The sequence below is a fragment of the Homo sapiens genome, chromosome 7 (assembly GCF_000001405.40).
Source record: "Homo sapiens chromosome 7, GRCh38.p14 Primary Assembly".
In the NCBI taxonomy this organism is placed as follows: domain Eukaryota; kingdom Metazoa; phylum Chordata; class Mammalia; order Primates; family Hominidae; genus Homo; species Homo sapiens.
In genome coordinates this window covers 17,026,528-17,050,987 of record NC_000007.14, presented here as the reverse complement: position 1 = coordinate 17,050,987, position 24,460 = coordinate 17,026,528, and the positions used below count along the sequence as shown (strand labels likewise).

The 24,460-nt window shown below is 36.0% G+C and overlaps 1 long non-coding RNA gene and 1 pseudogene across 1 annotated transcript in view; both read left to right on the top strand.

The window, feature by feature from the left end:
• Positions 1-460: 460 nt before the first annotated feature.
• The window catches only part of LOC124901595 (uncharacterized), a 60,261-nt gene continuing 36,261 nt past the window's right edge, over positions 461-24,460 (top strand). The window contains exons 1-2 of the long non-coding RNA XR_007060239.1: positions 461-13,743; positions 15,245-15,300. This is a non-coding gene — a long non-coding RNA (uncharacterized LOC124901595). The remainder of the gene's footprint in view (positions 13,744-15,244; positions 15,301-24,460) is intronic.
• Positions 17,510-17,899, top strand: BRWD1P3 (bromodomain and WD repeat domain containing 1 pseudogene 3; annotated as a pseudogene).

Here is a 24,460-nt window from a genome sequence, read left to right as displayed (position 1 = left end):
TAGCAAAGACTTGGAACCAAGCCAAATGTCCAACAATGATAGACTGGATTAAGAAAATGTGGCACATATACACCATGGAATACTATGCAGCCATAAAAAATGATGAGTTCATGTCCTTTGTAGGGACATGGATGAAGCTGGAAACCATCATTCTCAGCAAACAATCACAAGGACAAAAAACCAAACACCGCATGTTCTCACTCATAGGTGGGAATTGAACAATGAGAACACATGGACACAGGAAGGGGAACATCACGCACCCGGGCCTGTTGTGGGGTGGGGGGAGGGGGAGGGATGGCATTAGGAGATATACCTAATGCTAAATGACGAGTTAATGGGTGCAGCACACCAACATGGCACATGTATACATATGTAACTAACCTGCATGTTGTGCACATGTACCCTAAAACTTAAAGTATAATAAAAAAAAAAAAGAAGACTGGAAGATTTCATAGTTGGGATCAGAGAGGCATACAGGAACCACATCATGTAGAAACTTATTGGTAATAGTAGTAAATGCATATTTTATTTTATTTGTAATGGAATCCCATTTATAATTTGGTAAGACTAAAACCAAAACCAGATCAAACATAACTTTTCAATCCACAAAACACACATAACTATATATTAATTTGAATGCTTCATTTGTGGTGTTACTATCCTTTCCTGACAAATTAACCAAAGTCAGCATGCTATAGGATAGTAATATACATTCTTCCCAGAAATATCACTATTTGGTAATATTCCTGAGAAAATACTCATAAATATATGCAGAGATTTAGTAATATGCCATTTTCATTGTGTTGCTTTATAAGATAATATACTCAAGGCTTTTAAATTACATTAAAATGCTTAATCACAAAAGAAAACTTTATAATACTTTATATGCCAAAATGATTTATCTATTTTAAAACCTCATTTAAAACACCAATATTTAGTTTTAGGAGAATGCACACTCATATCCTGTTTTTATTTTCAAACTGATGTGTATCGTAGAGTGCAATTTGCTATACAAAGATATAAATATATGCATACCTTTGGCATCAATAACTATACTTCTGAGAATTTGTCCTAAGGAAATAAAGTTATAGATATGTTTGAAGAATAAATATGTTTCAAGGATGTTCACTGAAGTATTGCTTGTAAAAACAAAAACAAAAAATACTTAAACATCCATTATTGTATTTTAGAAAATCAGCTGTGTATATCCTCCAAGTGGAATTCTATATAGCCATAAATCATGATGGTGCAGAAATAGACCTATTGACATGGAAAGATGATTATAACCTATTGTTATTCTTTAAAAGTAGGTTATAAGATATCCTATAAAATAGATAATCTATTTTGCAAAAAACTGTGTAATTGTTATATACTAGGATTTTGAAAGATTATACCAGAAGATATAAACAATGGTTACTTCTGGGTTGCTGAGAATTTGCATGTATTACATACTTTCTTATTTTATTTTCTGGGTTTTTTGCAATAAACATTTATTTCTCTTATAACAAGAATCATTTTTAAGAAAACAATTTCATAGCACATTAATAAACACTGTATATAAGAACAGTTTTATAATAACAACTATGCATATATGGGTGTGTTTGCTATACATTTGTGGTTTTAAGCACACATATAACACAAGTATACACCATATATGTGTGTGTGTGTGTGTGTATGGTATTGGGCCATGTTTGTGTGTGTATGTATAATGTACATATATACTATATACTATACATACATGTGTACAGTGTATATATATATACACACACACACACACACACACACACCATACATACACACAAACCAATATATGAATGCATCCCCCAAAATTGTGGTGATTAACATTTAAAAAAATTTTCTTTTGTGTTTGTGTTTTTCTGTATCTTAAAAATTTACTATAACAGTCAAATATTGCTTTCACAATAAAAATTTTATTAAATAATATTAATAGGTTTTATCCCTCCCTACTCTCATTTTCCGTTATAATTTTCCCTGAAGATACTTTACACAATGTAGGATTGTATTCTCCACAAGGCATGACCCTCTCATTTTGACTCTCCAATCTGCAGGATATTAATTTGAATAGAGACAGTCTATTTAGCTTGAAAAGATATTCTAGGGCTCTCTTACCATACTGTAATCACCATTTTGGCAATCTTATATTACAATAAAATTCTCACAATTCATTACTTTGTTAAACTCTAAGTGGAGCATAGAAAGCAATAAATCCCCCAAACAAATCTGTCAAACTTTAAGCTCTATGTCGAAATGTATTCATTGAGAACCTATCATATGATGAGACCTGTGAAATATGCATAAGCTCTGCCTTCAAAGACTTAGCGCTCCAACTTGAAAAACAGTTAAAGAACAGTTAAAGACATCATTGTTTGTTAGAATACTTTTTAACTACTCAACATCTGAACCTTGTCCTATTTGGGAAGAAATTCCTCTTTTATTTGTGAGCCTGGGTGGAAGGCCAGGAGATTTCCCTATCCTCTGACAGCCATGGTTTGAGAGTGTGACAGAGAGCGGTTGCATATTTCCACCCAGAACTTTAACATTGAACAACTGATGCAACAACAACAATAACAAACACCAAAAAGAGAGGGAGACAGAGGTTGAGAATTCATGAATGATGAAAGCGTGCAATGAGCAGGTACAACAGTACTCATCACCAACACCTCAAAAACCCATCCAAGAGACAGCAAGCTCTGCTCCATCATGAAATAAGAATGCTATGGCTACTTATCGATGCGCTGTTCCTCAGATGGAGCTAAAATCTGTGTCTATATAATTTCCACTCACTGGTTCTATTCTGCCCTCTCCAGAAACAGAGCTTTAGTTTCCATGTCAGAGTATATTCATTTTAGGCAAGTGCTTTCTGACTAGTGTAAGGATCAATTCCTTAGTATTCTAAACACGTATTGAAGGTTTAATATAATGTTTGGTACTTTACATGCAGTATTACATTTACCGGTCCCAAGAAACCCATGAAGCTGATATATTTATTCTTGGTTTGTCCAGGAAAATAAGTTAAGATTGATTATTAAGTGCCAAACCAAGCTGGCAACTGATTGAAATGAGACTTGAACCTAGGAAGTATGACTTCAAAGTTTAGGCCCTTGACAACTACATAATATCTGCCCTTCTTCCTTGTATAGTTGGGATTATCCATGGGTGTCAATATGAGAAGCAGGTTAAGGAGGCTTTGGATTTCTGTCATAGAGGGCAGAGGAAGAATTTCCATTCATAGAAGAACAAAATGTGTGGGGTAAAGGCCATGATGGGTTTGTGGGTCAGGGAGGCAGAAGGTTTCTATCACAAAATAAGACTGGCTTTGTGCATGAAATCAGAGCATGGAGACCTGTGAAAATCGGTCAGGAGTTTAAGCTGAAAGTGGTTGTCTTAATAGAATAACAGAAAATGTCTAAGCTGCCAACTGGTATAAAAATGCTATTTTATTTAATTGACTAAGATATCATTGAGCTCAAAATATGCAAAATGTGTCATTGTAAAGTGCTTCATTACCATGACTTTGTCAACTGTAAAAGAAGAGCGAATGGCATAGGACTGTCATTTTGATTATCAGTGGTAGACACCGAAGTTCATATCATTCCCTGTTCATAGGTAAAGGCAAATGAACTGATGTTTTCTGCAGTCATGGAGCACAGAGATCTAACAAATCCTTGTACCTCACATACCCAATAACCTCTTCCCACAACAGTCATTTTTAAAAGGCTGGCTGCATGCCTTTAGTAGGCCTTCGAGCTTTGTTCTAATTGCATTATAGTTAATTGACTATTCCAGAGAATGCTTAATTCATGGTCATCATCATCAATATTTATTGAAGTTTTCCCTCTGGACTTTCAAGGTTATAATGATGTACTCTCCTAGAACATAAAAGAAACAAAATTCATTTTATTTTTTCCTTGCATCTTACACACAATTATAGCTAAATTCCCTCTACTACTGCCAATATTATAACCCTTTTAGACATAGAACATAGGACATAGGACATAGACATAGGAAAACTATATTTAGTGGAAAAAAAAAAACACGTCCTCATCGTGTTATGAGAGAGAGAGTGCTTTGGCAAAAATCCCGCCACCGCAAGAGTTCTCCTTTTGCTGGACTATATTCCAACTGGGCTCAAAGCCTACTGGGCAAACAGAACCGTGTAGAAAATGTCTAGGACTTTGAAATAATCCAAGTCTATATTCCAAAATGCAGAGATAATTTGTTTTATCTATGAATTTCTCTAAAGAAGTTTATAGGTGCTCTGAAGAGACCGCATAGACCTCTCTAGAGGTCACCAAATTATTCTTAAAAATAAGAAGAATACACCGGTGTTTATATACTTACAAATAAGGACTGTAAGTCTGAAGTTAAGATTGATAAATTAATTTGCCAAACATACTGGCAACTGTTAACAATCTGTTGTGTGTTTAATCATCTTCAAGGAAAAGGGTCCACACAAAGGCTGTAAACTTCTCAAATGACTAACAGGAAAGGGTCAGTAATGAAAATGAGTGGAGTGGGCTGACTAACTATAGCAAGCCCACTGATAAAGACAGCCATACACAGCATCAGCTGATTGTCATGTGGGAAAGCAACCCAGATTTTCCCTTTTAAAGTTTAACAACTAATTACTTTTTTTTTTTTTAATATTATGAGACAATATAAATGTATACGTAACTCTAAAATCAGCCTGGGCTGCCAGTTAAAACCAATAATCTATAGATAATATAAAATCAGATCTAGCATTTATTTTCAAATCTTTCTCAAATAGAAGTCACACTTGACATTTTCTCTTTATATTGGAAATCGGTCTTCACTTGCTAATACAAAGGAAAACTTCTTTCACCTACTCTGGAGCCTTCTCTCAAAGCTACTGGCTAAGTGGATACCAACCAGTCTATCAGCCATAGAAATATGTGACTGAGGAGGAATCTTAAAGCAGAATATCAAGAAGGCAATATAGAATGATAGAAAAAAAAATGTAAGTTTTGAGTCAGGTAGATCTGTGTTTAATTCCCAGACTTAAACGAAGTTCCTATGTTATCTCTCTGATAACATATTATATTATCATTCATAGTTTGAGCCTGGTACCACCTATGAGGATGAAGTGAAGAAAAACATAGGTAAAATCCCTAGTAAAAGCATAATTTATAGACCTTTCTGAAAAACTATGTTCCTCCACTACTAGGAATGCTAAGTGTCAATCTTAGAAATGGAGACAGGCTGCCTTTAGCCTTCCTATAAGGTGCCCATATTAGTTGGGATTGTGTTTGACTATGAATTGTTTTTAAAATAACAAAATAACGTTACTTAGAGAGGACAAGTATAAAGGAGGCAATTTGGGATGATTATGGCAGCTCCATTCCATGATCTCTTCAGGGACCTAGTTCTTTCCAGCTACCATTCTGTCATAGCTGGACCCCACAGTGCAAGATGGTAGCATCTGCATTCCAGGTAGCAGGATGGAGAAGAAGCCAAAGAGAGGAAGGGCCACGGTGTACATTAGCTGTCTTAAGGAAGTTTCCCAAAAGCTGTCATGGGATAGTTGTCTTCTATCATATTGGTCGTAACTTAAGACACATGGCATCATATTGCTGCAAGGGAGACGGGGCTACGTAGTGGGACTGGGATTCTGAGTGGTCATAAGATAGACTAAAATTTCTGTTAAAATGGAGAAAGGGAAGGTGGATTATTGGGAGACAACTTACAGTTGAAACCAAGGGCTAACCTGATTAGGTCTGCCAAGCTTAACCTGCCTTGCTTGTTTTTAGCTACTTGCCTTTAGTTGATTTTAAAATCTATGTAGCTAAAGGTCATGTGGCTAAGCAATATATAACTGAACTTGCACTAGCTTCCTCACAGATAACATCTCTGACATATAGGTCACCATGGTGATGGTTACTGAAGTTGTTTTTCAGGAACTTAGAGTCAGCTCTAGTCCAGTTCAAGCCATTTGCGACCACTGACCCTGCTTGAGTGTTCGATAGGTACACTTTTGATGTTCTACCTACAGATCATGCTAACACCACCACCATGTGAACATGCATCCTATGAAGAGCCATGAAGCTTGGCTATGCTTGCATAGTTCACTGATAACCTCACTCTTCTTTACTGCCAATGACTTTTCCTCATACTTCAGACTACCTCACTCCTCTGTCTCATAAATATCCTTAAAATCCCATCTTTAGGGAAGCAGATTTGAGACCTGTTCTCCCACCTCCTTGCTTGACTGCCTCATGAATAAACTCTTTCTCCGCTGTAAAACTTACCATCTCAGGGATTGGCATTCCATACGACAGGCAGAATGGACATGGTTTGGCATCACAGTCTGTGTCTCAGAGGCCTTTTTATCTAAGGACAGCAGGGGGGGTAACTTGACATGTGTCCATTCTTATCCTACTGATTGTCCCCACTAAAAACTAAAACAGCTGCTTGCTCTGCCCTTCTGTTCTACCTTCATTAACTCTTTGCAGGGATAAAACTGGAGAGGCTCACTGGGGATAGGTGCCCAGGTTTAAATGCTTTCTAATTTTCATTGTCCACCTTTTGCTGTTTCTGTGGGTGCCTGGTTACTTCCAGCAGCAAATTAAGATATATAATCAATGGAAAAAAGACTTTTGGTTTTCTTTTAAAAATTAATTTCTGAAACAGCATTGCTAGTTTCCTCAGTTTTAATGTGCTCTAAAATTGTCAGTGTTAAGTGGAAAGGAAATAGAGACAAGCCCTTCTCAGTAGAAGGAGTACTGAATGTTTTTCTTCACATAATTAACTATTACTTCTCAATAACAGACTTTTAGGTTTAGAAGCAAAGTATCTGACACACAATAGGACGTTAATACATGTGTGAAGACTGAATGGAAAGAGGGAAAGAGAGAAGGGAAGAAAAGGAAAAAAGAGGGGAGGAAAAAAGGACAGATGACAAACAGAAAAGAGGGCAGAAAACAAGGTCTCTCACCACATAATTAACTCATCACCAACAACTCGAAAACCCATCCAAGAGACAGCAAGCTCTGCTCCATCATGAAATAAGAATGCTATGGCTACTTATCGATGCGCTGTGCCTCAGATGGAGCTAAAATCTGTGTCTATATAATTTCCACTCACTGGTTCTATTCTGCCCTCTCCAGAAACAGAGCTTTAGTTTCCATGTCAGAGTATATTCATTTTAGGCAAGTGCTTTCTGACTAGTGTAAGGATCAATTCCTTAGTATGAATCTGGTGTTTAAGTCGCAGTATTGTTTGTGCATTTTACAAACACAGACAATAATGTATACACAAGTTGCTAAATTAGGTTCAAAGAATGAAAATGGGTCATAGGAAAGCTCCCCACCTCCTCAGAACTCTCTGTCACATTCAGAAATCAAGAAAGAAGGAAAGAAGGAAGGAAGGAAGGAAGGAAGGAAGGAAGGAAGGAAGGAAGGAAGGAAGGAAGGAAGGAAGGAAAGAAAGAAAGAAAGAAAAAGAAAGAAAGAAAGAAAGAGAAAGAGAAAGAAAGATGTTAGCATCTGCAAAGATCCAAAAAAGAAAGCAAATAAAAATAACTCGACTTTGGTTAAGGGGCTGATAAAGTTAAGATACTTCACTGAAACATGTATGTCCATGTTTAGATCTTAATCACTGCTCTCCAAACCTCTCATGACTGCAGAATTAGGTCAGAGATTTCCATCATGCAGTCTTCAGTATGCACTCCAATTGTCCGTGCAGGATTAAAAAAAAAATGTATTTGGAGAAACTAGTCCAGGAAGAGATATGAGTGTAACAGACACTAAGGCATTTGTTTTAACAACAACAACAACAAAAAGCAGACATTGTGAAACTATGCTTCATTTATGCACAGACTGCTAAGAGTAAATCACACTGAAAGTGAGCAATATACTGTGATAACCAGAGCTTTACTGCTTTGTCATGGTGAGATATTAAAACAGAGTTGCTATAATACATTTTGACAAATCAGCTAAGGCTGTAGCTAATTTGAAGGTACCATATACTTTTCTAATTTAGATAATCAAAGTGGACCCAAAAAATAATAAACTGAGTTTTAAAATCTCTTACCTATAATATTTAGAATTTATACAATTATTTTATTATTTTTTCCAGATTTGCTAAATATGCATTCCTTTTAGGAAGTACTCTCCATGCACGTGAATTTTCATTGTAAATAAACTTTGTAGGGCAACATATTTTCTTGATGTAAATTGACTGTGGGAAAAGTAAATAATGTGTGCCTACCACCTCAATCAGAAAAAACAAAATCATAACCAATGATTTTTATATAGACAAACTTCAAGCCATCAAAAGAAACCATTATGTGTCTGCTGCTAAATTCAAGGTTTACAAGGAAGCAAAATTTTGCCTCTTCTCACTTTTAATGTCTTAGGAAAACAGCTCTCTACAAGTTTGGGTGGAGATAGCTGTCTTCCACTCATTTTTTCCAAAGGATATGCAAAACCTGAATATTATGAAAAATAACAGATTAACACATGATACTCTAACTTTAAAGATGCTATCATATATTTGAATTTACAGAGAGTCATCAGAAAGGAATTTCCTCTTTCTCCCAATATACACCTACTTCTTTTTCTATTAATCTGTACTTTTGACAACTACCTGTCTGTATGCAATACATAAACACACACACGGTCATCCACAACAGTTGTAAACACACATGCATATATAGTCATGCAATTGAAGTTTTTTTCTCAGCGATCCATACACAAAGTAAAGTAGTAAATACACTGTAAACATAATCATTCTTCTCTTTTTCATGATTGTAACTGGCTCTAACTTTCCAAATTCCATATTTAAAAATTGTTAAATATAAGTAGAATAAACCCAGAATATGATCCTCATTTCAAAGTGGAGGGCTTAATAGGATGACCCAATGTATTTATTACAGTCACTATTGCTTGAGAAATGTACTTTTAAAATAAAATCCATGGCAAGAAAAATGGTAGATCTTTGTGTTATAGTTAATTATAGAAATTATTTTTCCAGCACAACTGTTCACATTCACCAATTTAATCTGCTTTGAGATGCCCTTGAGAAATTCAGATTGATTCAGTCTCATAAAATTTTAGGGTAATATATCATTGGTTGTTCTGTTTTGATTTTGCTCAGTTGGCATGCAGTAAAGCATTGATTTCAACTTACTTGTGAATAAAATTAAAAAGTCGGTTAGGCATCACTTTGTTTTGATTTGAACTATGCTGCTACCTGGTTTTAATTGTTCAACTACCTTTCTGTTCAGTAGTGATGTGTGTATTTGTGGCTCCTGTCCATTCAGTAGATCCCTCTGAAGGACCCTCTTTTATTGACAGCACATTTTGCTCTATGAAACATACTCTATTTCTGTGCCAAAAGATCTATTTGAAACAGAGCCAGTGTCTCATTCCAGGAAGAGGAAAGGATATCAAGAGTTTCCATGGCAATCAGTTGACGGAACTAAATTAAGCAGGAAACCTCTTCAGAATGCAAAGTAGTCTTGCAAAACAAAGTGGTTTGAAATATTCAGGAAGTGTGTCACAGCACAACGAAAGAAATGGAGATATGAATACCTCCATAATGTAAACTCCCTAACTGTAAAATAAACAATTAAATGCTAGCTTTTGTCCTACAAAAATAAACCCTCAAACAACTGTCATTTCTAATCAAATCTTTTGTTCCAGTTAGTTTTGGTTTTTTTTAGTTCTTATCTCTTATGATCAACATCATGTAAGAATATAACTACAATTGTTTATGTAGGTAGGAAAAATAACTTTTTTATGTTACTGCTGTTAAATTTATTTTGTATGAAATTGTGCAAATTTCATAGCTAGTTCTTTAACAGTGAAATCAGAAGGAATGACCAAAATTTATTTTAGTGAAAAAAAAAATGAAGAAACAGATTCCTTAGTTTAGAGAAAGGAATTGCTTTTAAAAATGGGATTCTTCATGGTAATTTGGATTATTGATAGTTTTAAAAATATCATTCTACTTCCTGGAGTGGAATTAGAAGGAATGAGTCTTGAAATTCCAGGAAATAGAAGAATTAGAATGAACCAGAGGTTTCTTATCTTCTGGTCAATTGCCAAATCGTTATAATAGTTTGCTTGGAAATACGGCTTCAACCTGTATCAGTAACTATTACCAGAAGTCCTTCAGACCACCTAAATGCTTTCCAAATGCTTTCCTCTTCTCTTTAAGGAAAGAGTTCTTGGAGCAAACGTTTCTAAAGCACACGGATTCACAATAAAAAATATTTAAACAATTCCTAAAACCTATTAACCACTCGTTATCCCAGCTTTTTAAGTTAAATCACTGTATTTGTTTGAAGTAAAATTATAGGGTCTCCTTTGAAGATGAACACATAAGAATATACATCTTAGAAGAGGAAGGTCTTATGAATTTTAATCTCAAATATTCTGGCCTCAATTTCAACGTGAACTTTAAAGTGTGATCTAAATGCTTACTGTGTGTAATATAAACATTAAGAGGCACATTTTGATGTCACCTGCGTGATAAAACTTTCCTGGCTTCATTGTGCTAAACTTTTCTCAAATTTTCTGGACCAGAAACATAGTCCAAACATAGCACATCATCATATCACACAGACAAACACACACACACACACTCACACACTACCATACACACAGCAAGAACACAGTACAGCACCAGCATACAGTAAGTGCCATAGGTGTGCCCACCTTGGAATGTTGTTGAAAATTAGATTCTCCTGGTCAATAGCCATCAAGTCCTATAACTGCCACATCTTTCCAAGATATTTTCCCCAATTCCATTACACTCCCCAAAATACTAGTCTCACTAGAGACAAAACATGACAAGAACTCTTTACACAATCTCTTAAAATCTACTTTATTTCACATTGCATGCCTGTTATCAAAACATCTCAGGTACCCCATAAATATATATACCTACTATGTGCCCAAAAATTTTTTTAAAAAATCTATTTTAACTTGGATAAGTTAAGTATATTTCTGTATATTAGGTAGAAAAAATCAGGTGGTTTTCTTAGTTTGGGTTAGCAGACTCTGAGACAATAATCCAAATGCAAATGGTTTATCTAGGCAGTGATCCCAGGAAGAACAGTGAAAGAATAAGGAAGTAAAACAAAGAAGGAAGGAAGTGAATATAGCTAATATTTATATTGTTAATCAGCAAATTACCACTATGGGAATGTAGGCTCAGTCTCACTGAGATTCTCTAAGAAGCTGTACAGAACATTCTTCAGTACTGTACCAGCAATGGCAAGAAAGCTGGAGTGTTTATCCACCAGATCTCATCCCTCACTGGTGAGGGTCACTCCTAAGATTCTGATTTTCCCAGATTCCTGGTCTGCACTTCTTGGACCTACCACATTTCCATGGTCAGAGAATGCTCTCCAACAGAGACGCAGGAAGCTTTATTTATTCTTAAAAGTTGAGCGGCTCAGGCTCATAAATACTAATGATCCAAGTATTTTCTGGTGTTAGCTAGCCATAGTGTGATATCTAGGAATGTCTAGCCAAGCTGACCAAGCCTCCCTCTAGCAATACTCCATTATGAGTACCATTTTTTACCTGGTTGCTAGGGACAACCAAATTTTGCCTATAATGATGAATAGAGGTCCTCCTGACCCAAATATCTGAGTGTATTTGAAAGGAGTTCTTTAATTTAGAGTCATATATAAAGGCAACAAAAAGCAGGAGTTGCAATATAGATTGAGAGCTGGATAATTTTTCTTGTATTTTTTATGTAGATACAAATATGTATACAAAAAATTAAGATTAGTGGAGTCATGATATTAACTTTTAAACTCTTCACAGAGAAGTAGAGAAACTGGTTTGACTGAGAGAATTCTCTCACTCTGGTTGTTTCTGATGTTTCTTGGTTCTTGCTTTCTAATTCTGTCTTCTCCTAAACTGGTACGTTCTATGATGTTTATGTTCCCTCATGGGACCACATCAGAATGATCACTTCCTTGATGCAAGGCTCTTAATTATGACTCCAGAGAAATCCAGAAAAATCTGTTCCCATCGGTTACTGCTGAAAAAAAGTACAAGATCTTGCTCAGCAGCATTCCTAAAGAGATTGCTTTCTTTTGCTCACATTTTTTCAAAATGCCTGCTGTCTGTTTTACCTTAAAAATAGTAATTCTTAATTCATATAGCATTGCAATTCACAACTCTGTTTTTCCAAAATACCCCAAGATGTATCAGTGAGAAAAATTATTTCCCATTTTGGCATTCTCTGGGAAAGGGAAATTTCTAACATTTTACTTCCATGTGCAAAAGTCTTCAAATTCTGGCATATTTCCCATGAATCTTTAATCTGATCTACCTAACAATGCCCTTTGAGTTGATTGCCCTTTGAGTTGAGGTTTTATGGTTTCACAACTTCAATCTCACTGATATATAGGTTAGGCTAGCATCAAAGAAAATAGGTTAAAGAAATAGTTTCACTTATTTTGGCCCACCTAAAACCAGGACTTGAACTTTACCAAAAACTAAATATCTAAGCATAGCACGTTAGAAAGCAGCATATAGTACAAGAACAGTAGGGAGGGCACAAAGCTCAGGTCTGTGGCTTAATAGTGACTGACCACAGGCACACTGGTAACTTCTCTTAACCGTCCTGCCTCATCTGACAAGCAGGGTAAATGTCATCTATGTTACAAAGTGGGTGGTGGTTCTAAATTAGAGAGCCTAGACAAAGTGTCCCCGACTGCTGCATATTATAGGCTCTCAGAAAACATTAACTGCCTTTCTCTTTCCTCCAAAGTTTCAGTTGAGAAAAGTATAAGCTCAAGGAATAGAAGATAAATGTTCAGTAGAATAGGAATGGAATCTAATGCTTTTTCATGCTGTGGTAAATCACTGAAAATGTGTCTTCATGTCACATTCTGTTTGGAGAGCAGTGTCTATTTCCCTTTCTAAATATCATTCATCAGTGCATCCTTTCTTGTATCCAAATAAATGAATCTTAAATCTCTCTTTAAATAGTTATAAGGCATGTGACTGACACAAACCATAAATCTAGATAAAGATTTGAAGGATATACTAACCAGGCTTGAGATTACTAGAAGAGAGAATAAAGAAAATTGCAAATGAACTGCTCTGAAATAAAATGACTACCATGCATTGCAATTAGAAAATCTAGGGGAAAACGACAAGTTGAGCTTCGTCTTCTTACCAGAAACTGTGTTGCTCTCTTTCCATGTTTCCACTACCACTTTTGCCACATGTGGTGAGAAACATGAAATAGCACATGTTAGAAAAGTGAATACTGTCAGGTGGAAAGCGTGCCTCACTCTTTTCTGGGAATTACATTCCGGGGTTTGAATGGCTGATTACCTTTATGCATGAACAATTCAATCAACTCATCTCTGTACTGCTTAGCCCAGCTGGGTCTTGGCAATAATTCAATTTGGGAAGGTTCTTCCAGAAAACCATGCTAATATGTTTAGTTTTTAGAAGAAAAAATAATACACTGTAGAGAATTGATTTGGGGGTTGGCAATGTAGTTGTAGGGAAAGGGATTCAAGTGAGGACTATCATTTTTTTTCCCTCATGTCAGGCAAAGGATTGGAGAGATTAAGGAACTTGATTCAAGTCACGAAGCTACTAAGAGGCAAAACCATGGTTTTAGTGAGACCCGTCTGGTTTCAAGAAGAGTAGTTTAAGTGTATTCAGAGCCCATTATGTACCAGTCACTATGTTCAGAAGTTTATATCTAGACCCCTCACAACAGGTATGTATGGTAAGTATTGTTATAATCAAAAAAGCTGCCTTTTATAATCAAAAAAGCTGCGACCTACCCATTGTCCCCAAACTAGTTACACCGCAAGCCTACATTTAAATTCAAATTTGTTGTATGCAAAATCCTACATTTTCTTTTACTGTACTATATTGCTTCCTAAGAACTACAAGTATTATATCCTAGAAATGTTAGCAGATCAATAAATATTTATTATCTGGTTCTTAAACGGCTTCAATATTTCAACTGATTGTGTTGATGTTTCCATCTTGAATTTATTCTGAGCCCCTCCTTGTAGAAAGGGTAATTCATGATTGTCACTAGATAATGATAGAAATCCTGTCTTTATACCAAAATAACATAAAGTAATGAAGAAATAAAACTGTAGTTATTGAGTTTCAGTTCTGATTTTTACCAATGAATGATGAATGTGACACAATCCATGCAAATGCAATAGTCAGCAATATATTGTGGACGCAGATAATAGCTTACAGAAAAGAATAGCCAATTTGAGATCATAGACAGAGAAAAAGACACACAAAATCGATGCAGAATGATAGTAAGTAAAATAAATTCAGATTTAAATTTCATATTTTATTACTCAGCTCTGTGGCCTACTACTGCCAAGAAGCTTATTTTGAAAAAGTGTGACATACTAAAACATTGAAAGAACATGCAACATAGACAAAATTTTCACAATTTAACGACATGCAATAGTAGTTAGTGGCATGGTTAATTTCAAAGTAATGGATCCATACTTTGGGTGATATCAGATCTTGAACCTGGAGTATGAAGACCTGAACTACCTATGAAAATCAATAATCTTCCAGAGATAGTTTAACTACAACTCTATTGCTAATATTAAAAGTAGAAAATAAATGTTAGTAGCAGTGGCACATTGTTTACCACCACATCGTGGGACTGGAATGAGGTTAATGTTACATAGTCACAATATTCCATTTGTCTAGGACTATTTTATTATCAAAAATACATATCGAAACAATTATTTCTTGGAAAGCATTATTTTAATAAATTTGGGTTATAAAGACTTAAAGTTACTAGGCAACGTTTCCTCCATTGTGTATTTTCTCAGTCTCTTTTCTCTAAAATTTTGGCCATTAACTGAATTATTAAATTTTCCTTTTCTAAGATTATACTAATACATCTTTGAATGATATATTTTAATATAAATTTTAGAATAAGAACAATGTTTATGCTATGGGTATACTTTCTGCTAATCCGGGGGGAAACTTTACCAAGTTAAGAAGGATTTGGAATTCACTTCATGCAACTCTGCATTTTATATATTGGGGCTCAGATTTAAATATAATTGTTTCTGCTATTTTTCAGAAGCTGAAACTACCTCTAGAAGACAAAATAAACTAATGTTTAGCAATATATTCTCATGTTTTCTGTTTCATAGGGTATAATAAAAGTGTAAGTGTGTAAACATAGAGCCATATCCAGAAGTCTGAATTAATGTCTTCTCCACTAGGAGTAAACCAGAATCAACCTACTACACTAAGAGCAGAAAGCCACACTCTTCTCTTGGTAAGCTTAAGTTAGTTCCTCATGTTTTCTATACTGTTTCAAAATTTCAAAAGGATTTTTCCATATTTTATATTTTTAAAATATTATCTTTTCTTCAAAACAATTTAACGAGGCAGGGATTATTTTCTCTGTTTTACAAAGAAATTGAGAACCCCACCATTTACATGTCTTGCCTTGATTCTCACAGCTACTTATGTGTCTTGCCCCAATTCTCACAGTGGATTAAACTTTCAGTCATCATCTTCCTTTCAGTTACCCTCCTTATTTCTCTAATAATATTTGGTAGGAGGAACTCCCAACATAGGTTGAAAAAGCAAATGGACTAGTTGCAGGCTCCACTTATGGCTAATACTCACATTTTAGACAACAGGAAAACCACAGAAAAACCATTGTTTACAGTTTGCCATTCACAATAGCCTAATAATAGTAACATAACAAATCTGGTACAAAATCTTAAAGAAAAACTCAAAATAATAATTTATTCCCTAAAAAGTATGTAGGTCCACTAGATAACAGATCCAATTAGAACTTGACAAAAGCAGAATTGAAAAGCAGACAGATTCCTACAAGGAACATTGGGACACAGTGCTTCGGAGCTGTGTAGGGTGTTAAAAGTTGTAGTCACCTTGCTGATCATTAGCTATTTGCTATGTCTTCCACATAAACATATTATTTCAAATTTACTTTTTATTATTAACATGCAACATAGAATAAGGATTACAAATTCAGATTTTAAACTTTGTACAATTTACTTAACTTCTCTAAGACCCAACTCAAATGTGCTCTTTATAAAGTTGGAATAATGGAGGGGATCGTTGTGTGTGTGAAAAATAAATATTTGTAATCTTCACATATGTGTTGTATATAAAGTCCTTAGTATAATCTTAAACATTATAAGATCTCAATAAATTTTGAGTGGTGGATGTAGTAGTATTAGAGTATGAGTAGTGGTTGAAATAATAGCAACAGTTATGAAAGCTACTTTCTCTTGGGCCCCAAAAGAGCTGGATATTGGTAGTTCCATCATCTGTCCTTTACCTGTTAGAATGTGAGTTCATAGCTCCTTGTACAAGTCTACAACAATTCTGGTGGGGCCAGAGGTAACTACCTGGCCACTGTCTTTCAAACTTTCCCATTGCCACCAGAATCCTAAGGCCCTTCAGCTGATTATTCTCAGCAAAAATAAGAAATTAAATTTCAGCTAATGAATTACCACATCAAGAGAGTATCCCACCACAAGACAGGGAAAAATCAAATAGCGTATAAGAGTAATTCTTATCTCTTTGAGGATTAAATACTGTCTCTACATTATCTTATTTGCCAAAAAACTTTCAAAGTTGGTTAAATAGTACACTGTTAAAAAACAAAATCATAGAAAACCAGAAGAAAATGCAGCTCAGTATTAATCTGATCTTGTGGTGGGGAAGGTCTTTCCAAACACTTTTTTAAATGGCCAAAATCATATGAGAAATTATTGACAAATTTGACTATGTTAAATTTAGCATTATGTGTTAAAATTGAAAGGGAATAAGATAAAATTTACATAAACACACATACACAAAAAAACTTGATATTTTATGTTAATGGCTAGTGCATATTATGTATATATATAAAATGTCAATGAATAAAGTTAATTCAAGTTTAGTCAAAAAATAAAAATTAACTCCACATCATTTTCCTTATAAAATGGGTAAAATAAAAAGAGGCAGGCCGGGCACGGTGGCTCATGCCTGTAATCCCAGGCACTTTGGGAGGCCGAGGTAGGTGGATCACCTGAGGTCGGGAGTTTGAGACAAGCCTGACCAACATGGAGAAACCCCATCTCTACTAAAAATACAAAAATTAGCTGGGGGTGGTGGTGCATGCCTGTAATCCCAGCTACTCCGGAGGCTGAGGCAGGAGAATTGCTTGAACCCGGGAGGTGGAGGTTACAGTCAGCCGAGATCACACCATTGCACTCCAGCCTAGGCAACAAGAGCAAAACTCCGTCTCAAAAAAAAAAAAAAAAAAAAAAAAGTAACATTATCAATACTGTTTATAAGTAAGTTCACATACTGCAGGTAAAAATACATTAAATTATACCCTTCTGAGTTGCACAGCTTAGCTGTGGCATGTACCTGGGGTGGAGGCCTGGCCCTGGCCTGGTCCAGCCTCATGGGGCCTGAATGCTTTGCCCACCACCTGTTCCCACCTCTCGCCCTGTGCCCAGCCTCGGCCAAGCCCTGGTGGCCAGATGCCCAGTGCCTGTCTTGGAGTCGGAGCTGTACTTCCTCATCAGCTGGTACCTGTTGACCAGCCTGTGTCAGAGAGTGGCCTAGGTACCAGTGCTGGAGCTGAAGCAGCACCAGTTGCTGCTGAAGAGGTTGGACTAGGAGGGCAACGAACACAACAGTCTAAAAATTTGAGACATAATTATTAGACTGAATGCAAAGAATTGGTCTTGTCCATTAAGCATGTGGCTCCTGATCACCTGCTGTGGGTCTGCCAGTGCTTCAATCTTATTTTGGTTAAAGAAATTCCACTCGGTATTTCAAGAGTCACTTCTTTCCTTGGTGCAGGAAGGCAGTCTTTGTTACATACAGCAGAACATAGGTTAATGTGGAGATGTGTTCTGCTTTGTGTTAATAGCTTTAAGCATTGTGGAGGAAAGGTGATAATATATGTAAGTCATGCTGTGAACTATACAATTCTCTGCATTTAGCATAGAACATTGAATTCTGCTGTGTGTTTCATGGGCCCTTCTGCGTTTAAAAAATTGATAAAGACACATATGTTAGCTAAAAAGCTTGAATTTATTCTGAGATGTGTTTGAAGTTTTATCACTGTGAATTCTTAATCTTCCACTTTGAAGCTCCCTCATAACTTCATTGAACGTAATTGTATGTGTCTAATAAACTCTTTAAGTGCTAGGAGTATTTCATTTGATATTTAGATTCTGAAAATCCTTTGTTATAAAGGGAAGTGATTTTATAAATTTGGAAGCAGCTTGAAAACACACACCAAAAATGTAAAATTGCATGGTTCTTTTCTTCACCAATTTAATTTTTTTGCAAAGTTATGTGCTAGCAAAATGTTTGGAATTGCTATCCTTTTTCTGTTAGCTTGGTATAAATGACTTAAACTAAGTATGTACATGTGATATGATCCATGTGTACATCTGATTAAACTGTTAATGGGCAAAGATTGTTGGTTCTTTTGATCCTAAGCATACATTAAATTACATCCCATGATTATTTTTTGTTACAAGCTATTGCTGATGTGATGCTACCTCTTCAATGCAGCACTAACATAAAGCTTAACTGAGAAGGAACCACCTTCCCTCTTAGTTCCATGCCAGACTGGTTTGTCAGCCTTAGTTGTTTCTTAGTCCTCTGTAGCAATGCCACACTGTGGCATCAGGAAACCATGTATATTCTTTTTTCTTCTGTTTCCCTATTCACTTTGTAATTATTCTGTTTTAGGTGGTTATATGGTAGTTACTGGGGTAGCATGTTTTCCTTTGTTTTTCTCTACTTGCGTCAAGCTCAATGTCATGGTTTTGTTATGAGCACTGCTTGCTACTGGCAGATCTTAGAAGAGACTTCAGCAAGCAGCTCCAGAGTAGGGGCCATAATTCTCTATTTGTTTTGTACTAGTACCACAAGAGGATGCCTTGTAACTGCTCTTTGGTCATGATAGTGGTAGTGAATCCATTCATGTAAAATGCAATATGTCTGTTGGTTTGGGGGCACTTAAGATTCCACAGAGGTTTAGTATAATGCTCTCCCTTCTTTCTTTTTGAGTGGTGAAGAAACTAAATTTCTAGCACAGCATGACTGCTCATAGCCTGTGTTCTGTTGCTATCTGCTATGGGGGGGCACATATTGTTTTCTTAATGCATTTGCTGGTTGGTCAAGGAGGGATGGGACTTTTGAATTTGTGTCCAGACACATAGATCCTACATATGGGCTCTTCTGCGGAGGATTATCTGAGATCCTAAAATAAAAGGAAAGGTATTTAATTTTAATTTGTCACTACTTCATAAAGAGACTAAAGTATGGCAGTATTGTCCAAATTAATTTTAAAACCGAAGAAGTCAAGAATGTTCATATAAATTAAAGAAATTAAATTTTTCCTTATAAAAGTTTCCATTTTTAAGAAGTTGAATCAAACATAAGACCTTTCATCTTTAATATTGTATAGTGTAATGCTATGTTGAAAAATCAACACTTATTTGGCATTAAATGGGAAATAAATAAATAATAGCTTTCTGGAGACTCTTTGAATATCTATAATCTGATTTGAAAATTCCCTCTTGAGAAATTTACCCTAAGGAAATTCTCAGAGATATCTATAAAATATTAAATGCTAAAATGTTCATTTCAGTCTTATTTATGACAAAAGATTTCAAAACAACATAAATACTCAGAATTAGACCGAATAATAGGATTTTCGTACAATAGAAGAACATATAGTCATATAAGATCTTACTACAGAAGTGTATATTCATGTGAGAAATAGTTAAACTATTATAAAATATACAGAATGATTCCAATTTTACAAAACTAACTACATATATGTGCATAGCAAATGCCAAAGAAAATGTTAAAGATGCTTATCTCTGGGCAATAGGATTATGGGTGTTTTGTTTCACAGTTTCAAAACTGAGTGTGTGTATATATATATATATTATATTATATATATAAAGTTTTATATGTACATAAAGCTTTTTTTCAAAGTAACTAAATGGAGAATATAGAGGAGGAAGCAAGAAGCATGGAATGGAGTCCAACAGTCATGTGGAGAAGAACAGTGAGAAAACTAGTGGTGTTAGCCAGTACATGGCAAGGGGAAGCTGTCCCTCTTCAACCAGTTTTTCAATAACCAAGGATCCAACCGATTAACCTGTGGTCTTCAAGGCTATTTAACTGAGATTGTGCAGTTGCCACACTGTGAACTTCTTTCAGTTTCTGGTCATTTTCATTGAAAAAGACAGGAAAGGGAAGTGGCTGACACAGCTGCTCTTCCCATGGGTAGTCACGTTAATTAGGGGCCAAGGAAGGAGAACAAGGGAAGTTTTCTGATTTTTCCTGAGAAAAAAAACTTACTGTCAGCAGCTGTCTTTCTAATCTCATTCTTTTAGCAAACCCCTCCTTCTCTTTCTGTCCTCTTTGGGATTTTATTGACGAAAAAAATTTGTAATCCCTGCCCTAAAATTGAAATAACTTACCTGCAATGCAAATAACAGGTATTGGTTTTCACAAAAGCAATTTAAAATTGTACCTCGACCAACGTCTCAAAAAATTATAATTCACCAGGCTAATGTTATAAGAAGAAACATTCGGAGTGGAGGAGAACAAGAGACGGCAGAATTAGATAGAATACAAGGTGTAGAGCAAATGCTCTCAGATTCCTAGAAGTGCAGAAAAAGCATTAGGTATTCAGAACTTCTGCTACAAGGTGATCAATGTCTACTCTTGGAGGGAAAAGTCATTGGAAGCCTCATCCATGAGAAATCTTGGAATCTTTGAAAATTCTGCCAGCAGGCTGGTGTTTGCCCTTGTGCAGGGATAGAAGCTGTATGCTCATCTCTCTTCTTAATCAGAAAAGCCAGGGAAGCCAGGCAGCCACCTTTCCCTGTCTATTTAATGAATGAGGGTGCTTTTCTTCAGGAGATAAGTCACAGTTGAAGACCTGAGTTCTAAAATGCCAGGGTGGCATTCTCTCTAACGCTGCCTCAGAGCAAGATTCTGTCGTACATTGAAGAGAAAATGACTCTAGAGTTTGGTTGATTAAGACTTCCCTGCAGTCATATTTCAGTCATACTTCCTTTAGGAGACATGGAAACCTTCATGATAATACTCTATTTGCAATATAAATCTAATTATCCTTATTAGCTATTCTGTTTCTCTTGACAAATTAACATTTGATAGTCTTGATAATTCTATTTAGAGACTTTGTTATGGGAAAAACAACCCTCAACAAATGGCTAAATTTCCTAAGCTTACCTCAGATATAATTATTTGATATAAAGTACAGATTGCTTTGATATTTCGGTAAATGGGATTAAAGTTTGTAGGATCCACTTTCTCATTAAGAAAATAGCCGAGGGCAAGTGGGTTGAATCGAAGGCCCTTTGCAATATTAAGTGCCCAGGAGATATCCACCCTGAATCACTGAAAAGTTCCTTTAGGCTTTTCTTTGTGAACCTCAGCTCTACAGCAAAAACGTATTCTGATCTAGAAAGGTCACATTGTTTTTATCATCTTGGACTACATCTCTAAGCAGGGCTAAAACAGAAAAAAATCTAATGCCACTTCCTGTCTCCCTGGGTTAGCTCTGATGCTTCAACAATGACCGCAAAATAGATGATGTAGATTATAAAGCGCTAGCTAGTATAGGGCAGTAGATCCTGTTTCAGTTTGAAACAGCAAAATGCCACTAATCCAATTAAGAAAGTTCAGCTTCCCAGGTCACTGAAGGAAAATGTCTCTCAGGAGAGGTTTGGACATGATAGATTAAGGCCTGCTTCCAATACAATGCTTTGTAGACCTCTCAGTTAGGAAAATAATTAGAGATCAGCAGAAATCCATAGATAAATATATGTATTAATACGTTTGCCAGAAATTTGATAGAGCATTGGTTTCTTCATCATCTTATGAACCAATGAAGACCATTTTCACATATGTATCTTTACTTTCATGGCTTTTCTGCCTTGAGTATCTCTACTCTCTTTACTTTTCTGGTTAAAACTATATGCCAAGGCCTAACCCAGGTCCCACCTCTTCTGTGAAACTTTTCCAAGTTGGGTGAAGATTATTTTCTTTATCTTCATCCCTGTAATAACCACCTATACCATTGTTTAGCTCATAATTTGCTGTCTGGTATTCATTCATTCATTCATCTAACCAACAAATATTTATCCAAACTTATATTGTACCAGGCACTGTATTCACTCCTGAGTATACAATGATGATGAAAACAGAAGTAATACTGCCTTAGTGAAGCTTAGATTTTGGTACGCTCTAAGGAAGAAAAACCCTAGCGAGCTGTGGAGGGAGTGACAAGGGAGACATGCTTTAGTTGGGTGATCAGGTGCGGGAGGTGGTAATGAACATCTGCCATTGGGGGTGCCCAACATCTTTTGAGTACCCTCCCTATGTCGTGGGAGCTTTCTATGTTGTGAAAACAGCCTTCTTAAGGTAGAAACCAAAAACCTGACTATATAGGGTAAAAACGTGGTATGTATCCTTAGATTCCCTTGACTGCCTTCTTCCTTCTAAAGGTGCCACCCATATCTGAACTTTGCCTCACTCTGCTGAGCTTGCAGCCTGGGAGGAGGCTGAGATGAAGTTCTGGGCACATGGTCCACATCCCTCAGCTGTTGAAGCAATCCACCCTGATTTTCCCCTACATTTCCAGACCTAGAGGAAACGCCACAGTACCAGGAGTGGGATTCAACAGTGACCTGAATTACCCAAGTTGAAAGTCTGAGGGAACTAGCCCGTGGTGAGGCCAGTCTAGTAAAACAGGAAATGTATATGGGAGAAAGCTCCATAGATAAATTTCTCCTCCTTTCTCCCTTCTAAAGATTACCCTGAATCAGCTCCTCTTTTTAACTGCTCTGGAGAAGTACGACAGACCAGTGGATACACATCCTGAACACAGGAACCAACACAGAAATGCATCATAGCACCTTTCTCTACTCATGTTCTTCACCCTCACTGCTGGATTTGTACTTCTCAAAGAAAGTGTCAACATGTTAATCCTTGCCTCAGGCTCTGCTTTCTGGAGAACATGTTCTAAGACATGTACATTTCCTAGACTCCTTTGCAGTTGTGGGAGGACAAATGTCCAGGTTTCATTGGTCAGATGAATCTTACCTGACATTTGAATGTAGACAGAAGCAATATGAATGAGTGGCTACCAGTGGGGACATCTTTTGGCATGTGCTGTTGTGAGAATAATATTGTGGAGCTTCTGGAATTCAGATCCAAGATCCACAAATGATCACTGCCAGCCAGGGACAAAAGCAGCTGTTTTTTTTCTAGGGCTTCGAAATATTGCATACTTTACAAAACTGTTGAAAAGAAACTGTGCCAGCATATGTGAATGAGTTGCACAATCTCTGAAGTGTTACATAAATGCCTCTCTTTTTTTCTGTGAATTCAGGATATTGAAATAGATTAGAGATGCCAAAACACCTAATATACTTGCCAACATTCTCTATGCTGGGTCGATGCCTACACAAGTAATCAATTATAGAATTCCTTTTTCCTAATCTACATGCAGTCCCAGAATTCTCAAACAATATTCCACACAACCACTACCACTTCGACGGCATTAACACAAGAAAAGATACCTATTTAAAATCCCAGGTTTAGATGGTTTCTAAGATCTAGTCTATCTACAGCACACTAATTCCAATACTATACTATACATGTGAGTAAGTTACAAATAATTACACACTGTGCTATACCAAAAATTTAGTATAATAGATGTTTAATTTAAGGAATGTGTCTGGTGGAGGATTATTGTATACACTTTTAAATCAGCATGATGCTATTATTAACATGCCTGCTTTAGGAATATGATAGCACAGATTATTTGACAAACTGAAAATCAGTATAATTATTATGCATTCTAAGCCATGTGTTTATTACTTTGATTTATTTTCAAGATGCTTACTACTCTGTATGCCCACCTAACTTTTATTCTTTTCTTTCTTTCCTTCATTACCATAAGCATACTCATATTGATATCAAACACACACACGGATTCATACATATACATAGTTCTTCAAAGTTCTTAAGGTATAAAACAGAACCTACACTAAGACCAAAGGTATAATGAAGTATTTATTTCTATAAATGACATTACACATATCCACAAAGGGAGAATATGGGAATAATTTATAGATAAGGCTCTGTGCTGTATTTGAGATGATAAAATCCAGGAATAAATGTCACTCCAGCTGGGCACCCTCAAAAATCTCTAGAAATTTACAAATAACTCAAAATGCATAGTAGTTTGAAGTTGAAGATCTCTGATCTTCAGATAATAAGTAGTAAACCACAACATTTAACTTCAGACCCAGTGGATGCAACCCAAAAACATCAGATTCACCCACTTAGCCAGGATAGCAACTGAGAGAGGTTTTTCATTCACTTACACAGGAGGA